An 8,798-nucleotide genomic window follows, 5' to 3' on the forward strand; every position below is an offset into this window, starting at 1 on the left:
TTCAGTTAGCTCTTTAAACTTCACAAAGCTCCTTCTTGCTGTTTTCAGGTAGTGTTAAAAAATATTTAAAGGCTTGCATTCTGGGATATTTTGGTTCTGTTCCTCCCACTCATTTTTATCCAAACCTTCATCTCTATTTTGATTCCACTCCTAGCACTTTCTCCTGGAGTCAGAACTTAAATGGGAAGGGAGCCCTGATGGGTCAGTTTGGAGAGTTTATGAGGGGCTGGACTTCCCCTGTCCCCTAGGCCCTCACCATTTGCCCCTTGCACTCACCTATTATTAGAGATGATCTGAACTTTCCCAGTGTTAGCTGCTGGCTTCATATCCCTCTTCTCCCATGTTTTCTGTTGGATATCTGTTGACTGATTCAGGGTTTTTCTCTTTTCAAGTTTTGATGCCTTCTTGCTTCTTTCTGCTTCCTCCCTGACAGAAGAACATAAGACTCAAGCTTTGTAGCAGTTAGTGGCTTATTCCACCTGTTTATATTTTGGGGGTGGGGGGAGATGTTGTCACTCAGTTTTGTTATAACTGTTGATCATGAGTTTTTGGTTTTGCTGGCTAGGCACTCTGTGTTTGTTTGTTTGTTTGTTTGTTTGAGACAGAGTCTCACTCTGCTGCCCAAGCTGGAGTGCAGTGGTACAATCTCGACTCACTGCAACCTCTGCCTCCCAGTTCAAGGAATTCTCCTGCCTCAGCCTCCCAAATATCTGGGATTATAGGCATGCACCATCCCACCTAGCTAATTTTTGTATTTTTAGTAGAGACAAGGTTTCACCATGTTGGTCAGGCTGGTCTTGAACTCCTGACCTCAAGTGATCCACCCACCTTGGCCTCCCAAAGTGCTGGGATTACAGGCATGAGCCAACACGCCTGGCCCACTCTCTATTTTTATGTGGTGATTTAGGAAGACAAAAGCTATCCTGCCACTGCTACTGCCATTTATCCAGAATCCTCTGTGTTAAACATTCCAAATGTGTTAGATTTTTGTGTGAAGTTCCCAAGAAAGAGAACAGTTTAGTGAAGGAGACAGAGAAGCAGACCACAATCAGGGTGCACTCGGCTCTGTACACAGGTACTATGTGTGCAAGAAGAGCGTTGCCTAGTTTTGTGAGATAGTGGGGAAGAGAACACGAAAAACTTCCTGGAAGAGATAATATTAGAGCTGAGCTTTGAAGGACAATTGTAAGTTAGCTAGGTTGATTGAGTTGGGGAAGTCTCTTCTAAGCCAAGGAAATCACATGGGCAAGAGAGTGGAAGCTTGAGATAATAGGACATAGTTAGATACCATATGTTTAACTATAGATGTACAGGGACTGAGAGCATGGTTCTTAGGAGAAATGATGAGATATGAGCCTAGAAAGATGAGTGGAGCAATTCATGAAGGTTGAGGTTGTAAGCTGTGGAATGCATGTAGCATCAGTTATAAACAAGAGACCTTGTCTCACAGTGTGCCCTGCTCTGCCTTGTTGCTCAAAGAAATCATTCCAACAGTGATCCCCACCCCTTCCAGTCTAAATAGAACCCTGTGGTTCATACTAATCTTCAACTATCCAACTAATTTGTCTATTGGTTCATTTTTCAGATTTTTGCCCGAACTGTCTTCTGTAAAGTCTCTGTCCCTAGCCTCTTTCTGACTACTTGTTAAATTTTGGAAAGTTCTGTTGACTTCCCACTGTTCCATCCCAGCTCATCAGCCCTGACTCTAAGACAACTTGCCATCTGGCTTCTGGAATCATTACACCCCTCATTACTGTATTCCTTTGTCTATAGATCAACTATTATTAAGCATTTAAAATGTACCAAAAGATGAATAAGAAATTGTCTGTCTTAGTTTGGAATCTCCACTAACTTAGATATTGAGACAAGTGTTAGGGTGTAGTTAGTTTATTCAGGAGGTGCTCCCAGGAAGCACAGGAGGAGGAGTGGGGAAATCAAGAGAGGGAAGGGATAAAAGCTAGCAAAGGATGCATTAATGAGTGTGTTGTTGTGGACAACTGGGGCTCAGTTCCTCTGGTTATCCTCTAAGAAATCATGCCTCAGAATGGTCTTAACAAGGGCCAAGAAGCTGCAGTATTTTCCCACAGATTTCTATCTCTCATTGGTTGAGATTTGTCCTGGAAGCAATACATTCTTGGCACTTCTGAGTTGCTCTGCAGCTGTGCAGAACAAGTTCCCATGGCATTGGATAAAGCCCTCAACCAGCAAAGCAGGTGGACCCACACTTAAGCTAGGAAGGTGTAACTATCTCTGTAACTATCATCTGCATGCTCTGTAACTATCATCTGCAGTTGCAGAAAAGCTCAGAAGTCAGCATGGGGATGTAGGACAGGGCATAGACACTATTTTCTATGTAGTCCTTGCTTTCAAGAGGTTTTCTTCTAGTAGGCAGAGACAGCCATGTGAACAAATAGAGTGTTGTAGTATTGTGAGTGCTATGGTAGGAGAATATACAGTGTACGTGTGGGAGGAGGTACAATGGAGGAAGTGGTGTATTCTACTTGGAAAGGATTGGGAAAGGTTCCCAAGAAAAGTCACCCATAGACTCCACTCTGTCCTACTTGACCTAATCTCTCAACTGAGACACAAACTCACAACTGAGTTGAGGGGAGTGGGCAGGGAGGATGACAACAGAAGACTTCTATGATCCAGTCTGCACTTTGGTGAGTCAGTCTTCCAACAGTGTGGAGGACAGGCTGGAGCAGAACAAGTCCAGAGGATTCATTAGGAAACTTTGTACTAAATCATGCAAGACAGTCCGAGAGCCCGGATTATATCTGTGGCAGTGGGGCTGAAGAGAAGAGAAACATTCTAGAAGAATAATGGAGGATTGAGAGAACATGTTAATGGATTGCAAACGAGGGTTGCAGGAGAGAGAAGAGTTTAAAGATGTGTCTGGATGAAATGACTGGGTCATGGTGATGCCATTTAGGGAGATGGGGATACAGGAGGAAGAAAAGGCTTTACAGGAAGGAGGGTGACCTCCTATATGAATGAGTTGAGGTGCTCTTGGGACATTCATATAAGGACTGTGACCACAGCATGACAGAAATTAGAAAAGGTGAAGGACAATGTGGCCAAAGAGTTTGGAATTCAAAGGAATGAGAGTTGAGCAAACAGTGAGGACTCAGGTAAGTTGCTCTCTTTCTCTTGTCCCAGAGATGCAGGTAGGAAAGGAGATATAAAAGAATGAACCATTGAAAATAGAGTCACAAAAGAAATTCGGTTCTCAGAAGAGAGACAATAAGACAATTTGCAATTGGGGCCAAAGGGAGAAGCAAATGGAGAAGGTGAGGGTAGAAGGATCCTATTATTAATCACAGACTTTCCCCAGGATTCTAAAGAGAAACTCATGAGAAGTTGTTGAGGCATGTTTGCCAAGCCCATCCCCAATTGATGGGAAGCGGAAAAGACAGATGGAGTGTATTTCCAGCTCACTATTAATAAACAGCACTTTCCATCTGTACCATAGGCTAAATAATCTCACTTTATTTATTTATTTATTTATTTATTTATTTATTTACTTACTTACTTACTTATTGAGACGGGATCTCGCTTTATTGCTGAGCCTGCAGTGCAGTGGCACAATCACACTCACTTCAGCCTCAACTTCCCAGGCTCCAGCAATCCTCCCACCTCAGCCTCCCAAGTAGCTGGGACCATAGGTGCATACCACCATGCCTGGCTAATTTTTGTATTTTTGGCAGAGAACAGGGTTTCGCCATGTTGCCCAGGTTGGTCTGGAACTCCTGAGCTCAAGCAATCCACCTATCTTGGACTCCCAAAGTGCTGGGATTACACTTGTGAGCCACCACACGCAGTCCTAATCTCACTTTCTAAAGCCTTCTAAGTTATGCCATTTTCAGTCTTTTATGAGAGAAAATACCTGCAAAATATCTTTCAGGCTTTTAAATATCAAGAGTTGAAATAAAGTTAATATTTTTAGTTGAATACTTTAAAAAATTTTTGTCCCATTGAACGTTTTTTTCTTTGTGCAGGTCACATGGTGGACCATATTTCAGAACAGCTATTATCAGATGGTGGAAGAAGGGCCAGAATGAAGGACACAATGTGTTTTGAGGTAGATAATTGTTTTCTGAGAAAAGATGAAACAGACGAAAAGGAATTATCCATTCATAAGATCCTTTAGGTGTTCCAAGGAATGTATAAGAAGCTTTTTTCCTCAGAATATTGACTCATCCCCAGCAAGAGGATGATTCAAAATAATAAGTGATTATAGTACCGGTCAGTAACAACTCTAAGACTTCATAAAGGAAAACATTATGAATGATAAATTACGCAGAAGAAAGTCTTTGATAAAAGGGAGGAAATTACACTGGTGGAGAGGAGTGAGATAAGAGAGCATTCTTGGCAGGGCAACAGTGTGAACAGGTGTAGAGTTAAGAGTGACAATGCATTTTCAGGGGAATGACTTAGAATGTCCCAGCTGGGGGATGTTGGGGATGACATTGGAGAGATAAAGTGGGTCTCATTGGCTGATGGCCCTTAATGCTTGGTGCAGAGAGTGGATTGATCTGATAGGTAAGAGAAGACATTGTAAATGTAGCAGGAGAATGCCGGGATAAGAGTGACATTAGAGAAATAATTTTCTGGATTGTTAAAGAAACCAGTTAAGCCAGTGGCTCGCAACATATTTGGGGCACTGACTGCTGAGGTAGATTGAATAATGGCCTCCCAAAGACATTCACATTCTAATTCCTGGAACCCATTAGTGTTATGGTATGTGGCAAAGGGGACTTTGCAAATGTTAGGGATCTCAAGATGGGGAGACTATCCTGGATTACCTGAGTGGGGCCAATGTAATCACAAGGGTCTTTATCAGAGAGAGACAGGAGGTCAGAGTGAGTAGGCAATGTAACGACATAAGCGAGGGCTGGACTAGTGCAAGGAGGTGACCACAGGCCGACAAATGCTGGTGGTATCCGGAAGCTGGGAAAGGCAAAGAAACGGAAGCCTCCAGAAGGAGTGAAGCCCTCCCAAAGCTTTGATTTTAGACTTCTGTCCTCCAGAACTGTAGGAGAAAAAACTTATGTTGTTTTAAGCCGTTAAATTTTTAGTGATTGTTACGGTGGTACTAGGAAACTGATACAAGCCCCTTTAAGAGGCTGATGGAAAGTATTATTTGACACAAGAAATACGTGTATGTACACAAACACACAAGAATTTAAAAAATATTTTCAGGGGTTTTATAGTCCCACTAAAGCTCATCTGTGGACCTTATAGAGGGTGTTTAGTTCCCAGGTTAATAAACCCTGGAGTTGACAGGTTATTTTCATACTTAACACATGTAATAAAAAGGTTTAGGGCTGTATCAGTAAGACAGGAAAAGACAGTGTAAATCTAAGAGGTATTATGGTAGAGGGCTAAATTTGCAGTCTAAGGACAGGGCTACATTAAAGCTGACTCCAAGATTTCAAACCTGGGAGACCAAGAGAATAGGTTATGTCAACAAGAGATGGAGAAGGTAAGAAGACAAGAAAGTTTGCCGGGAAAAATGTGGGGTACAGCCTGTGATACAGAGGCTACCATTCGAGGTCTTCAGTTCATCTCAGGACCTAGAACCCCCAAGGAGAACACTTGTGTGAGGCAAACCAGAGGCTAGAGCTCAGGCTTGAAAAGAAACGTGAGAGAATGAGCAAGAGAGAGGCCAAGAACAGAGCTTGGGGTAGAGTTCCCCCAGCAAGGAATTGAGTAGAGCCAGGGAAGGGACTGGAAATGGATCATCATGGATGCCACAGAGGTGGGCGTGAGGATGATGCCCCCAATCTGTACCCGCCAATTCCTCTAATCAATATAATAACTGACTGCTACCTGAGGTTCAACCCCAGGATCAGTTCAGTTCCTAGGAAGACTGGTAAGTTGGTCTTCAGCCAGAGGGATGTTAAGATGGAAAAATATAGTTAATTGACTCAGAATTGGGGCCAAAATAACAACAAACAACAGAAGTAAAATAAATAAACAAAGTGCAGGACAGCATAATGTGAAAAGATACAACCAGGGCTGTCCCAGGAAATTCCAGATATCTGGTCTAACTTGATAATGGACAACGAGGTCTATGTCATTATTTTAGGAGTCTATAAAAAGGTACCCCTACAATATGTAGACAGCTTAAGGAAAGGGTCACTCTAAATTTTATGCAAAAAAATAGAACATTCTGGAGAAAAGTATGAGCTCTAGAACTGTTGGGGTGATTGGACCCAACACCAGGTCGTGGGGGTGACGAAGTCCGGCAGAATTAAAGAAATGAGAAAAGACACTTTGAGAGAGAAAGTGGGACCAGCGGGCCATCATGAGTGTGGAGGCTGCGAAGGCCCCGAGTTCTGGAAGCTCAGACTATTTATTGGTGATCAAACAAAGAAACAGGTGGTGAGAATGTGGGGTTGAAAGGGAGCGTTGCATTAAGCACATGATTTACAGCTGTGATGGTTTAGCATATGCTCTGCTACTTGAGATAGTGGAGAGCAGGTTCTTTTAACTCAAGATACAATCAATCCTGGGAGAGCAAGGAGCAAGGAGCCAGCAAGTCTAGACACATTCCAGAGTCAAGAGCCCTGGATTCTATCCAAGCCACGAGGGGTTTTATGCCCCGGACTTAGATTATGGTGTGTCAGGGTAGCCTTCCACCTTTTAGCACAGAGTTTGGTGTTCCAAAGGCCACAAAGGGTTTTAGACCCTGGACCCCACATGTGTTCCAAGACTCTTTTACATTATGTCAGACATGCAAGCCCTGCCTCAGCTTCTCCCAACACTCAGCTTTTCCCAACATAGAACCAGGAAGACCTCGATTCAAATCAGGACTCCTCCAGTTACTGCCACCCAGGCAAATGTCCTAATGCCCGGAAGTCTAGTTTTCTTATCTTTAGAACTGCAATAACAATATCTTTCATTACAAAGATATTGCCAAGATTATGTGTGGTAATATTTGTATTGTAAATTATTTTTAATCTTCCATATTTATGATTTTTTGGTATCTTAAGAAAACCTTTCTAGCTGAGCAGAGACTGCTCCCCCAGGGCTAGCCAATTCTTAAAGATTACCAAATGGCTCAGGTAGGAGCACGTCTTTGATATACTAACCAATCCAGAGCCATACCTTCTCTATCTGGTCCACACACCCCAAGAAGCAAGATTTCTGTGCCTTAATCATCAAAAGACCAGGTGCCAGGCAATTCGCAACCATCCATATAGCCTAAAGCCCACTGAAATTATCAAAATAACCAATGCTAAACTGTACACCCTGTCCTGATTTTCCTTTCCTTTGGAAATCTCAAAACAGTCCTAAACCTTTATTTAGGGCTGTGGTGGCTCACCCCTGTAATCCCAACACTTTGGGAGGCCAAGGTGGGAGGATCACTTGAGCCCAGGAGTTTGAGAGCAGCCTGGGCAATGTAGTGAGACCTTGCCTCCATAAGGTCTCTACAAAAAATTAAAAATTGGCAGGGTGTGGTGGCTCGTGACTGTAATCCCAACTATGAGGGAGGCTGAGGTGAAAGGATTGCTTGAACCCAGGAGTTGGACACTGCAGTGAACTTTGATCATGCCACTGCACTCCAGCCTGGGTGACAGAGCAGGAACTCATCTCAAAAAAGAAAAAAAGACCTAAACCCTCTCCTTGCTACTGTCACCTGCCTCCCGACCACCCTAGTGTCTTTCCCTTATATGTAGCACTTTGTGGGGTAGCATGGCCTGCCGTGCCTCTTGTCTCTAGGATCTGTGAGTATAATAAACTTCGTTTTTTTACCTGAGCCTCTCCTGTATCTCCTCTTGGGGCCACACCTGATTGACCATCACATAAAAGATTACAAAACAATATTCATAAAGCAATTTGCATGGTACTTGACACATAAAAAATTGCTCAGTAAGAAGTGGCTGTTGTCCCTTGATAAGACAGCTGCTAGGCAGTATGTCTTGGAGATGTTACACAATATGATTGTGCTCCTCCACAATAACATTCTATCTAATCTAGTCTGATCTAATCTACTTCCACATCAGATCAAGGGGGTGTTACTCTGAAACTGTAACCCACTCCATAGTATTGTGAAATGTCTGAGGTCATGGTGCTGTCATAAAGAAAAGGGGTTGCTTGGAATCTAGAAAAAGTATAGACAAAGAAGAGTCACAGGTATTATGTCCTTCCTGTTTGTCATATGGACTGTGTTATATGAAATAATTCATTTACTCCTCAGAAGAGTCCCATGAGGTATGAACTATTATTATATTCATATGTCCTATAAGGAAACTGAGGTGCAAAGCAGTTAATAGCTTGCTCAAGGTTCATAGCTATTAAGTATTGAAAGAGAAATATTAATAGAAACCCAAGCCCTCTAATTTGGGGGTTTTTGAACTCAACCCTATACTCTTCTCTCTCTCACGAGTAAGGAAATGGTCTCCAGCACCACTCAGGTGATGGAGTCATGACCAAAGAACACAATGTTCTGGTTCCTTCCATAGATAGATCCCCACAGTAGAAATAGGTACATCAATCAGGTTACTGTCTGAATCTTTTCTGGAACAGAGTGATAGGAATGAGGGTGCTAGGGTTTCTGACACATAAAGATTCTGGTTGCTGGGCTAGATGTCAGAATGGATGGGGACAATTTCCAAGAGTTATCTGAAGGACAGAAGCCAGGAGTGAAAGTCAGGTTGAGAACTAGGAACCATCTAAAGAAATATCAATCCCAAAGCAGATGGACTCAAAGGTGAAAACCTGGCTGAGGAAAAGGGAGTATGAAATAGAGCCACCAGATGGAGTCATAGGGTCTGGAACCTGGAGACAGA

The 8,798-nt window shown here is 42.8% G+C and overlaps 3 annotated features.

The window, feature by feature from the left end:
• Positions 3,536–3,755: a silencer, noted in NCBI's record as "fragment chr15:58402777-58402996 (GRCh37/hg19 assembly coordinates)". NCBI's record gives its function as "represses an EF-1alpha promoter that drives an FKBP-Casp9 reporter gene in an ReSE screen in K562 erythroleukemia cells {active_cell/tissue: K562}" and the evidence as "EXISTENCE:reporter gene assay evidence [ECO:0000049][PMID:32094911]".
• Positions 3,536–4,738: a biological region, named in NCBI's record as "P300/CBP strongly-dependent group 1 enhancer GRCh37_chr15:58402780-58403979".
• Positions 3,539–4,738: an enhancer, noted in NCBI's record as "P300/CBP strongly-dependent group 1 enhancer chr15:58402780-58403979 (GRCh37/hg19 assembly coordinates)". NCBI's record gives its function as "activates an origin of replication core promoter dependent on BRD2, BRD4, P300/CBP, MED14 and CDK7 cofactors, with strong dependence on P300/CBP, by STARR-seq in HCT116 cells {active_cell/tissue: HCT116}" and the evidence as "EXISTENCE:reporter gene assay evidence [ECO:0000049][PMID:35650434]".

This window comes from Homo sapiens, chromosome 15 (genome assembly GCF_000001405.40).
Source record: "Homo sapiens chromosome 15, GRCh38.p14 Primary Assembly".
NCBI classification, from domain to species: Eukaryota; Metazoa; Chordata; class Mammalia; order Primates; family Hominidae; genus Homo; species Homo sapiens.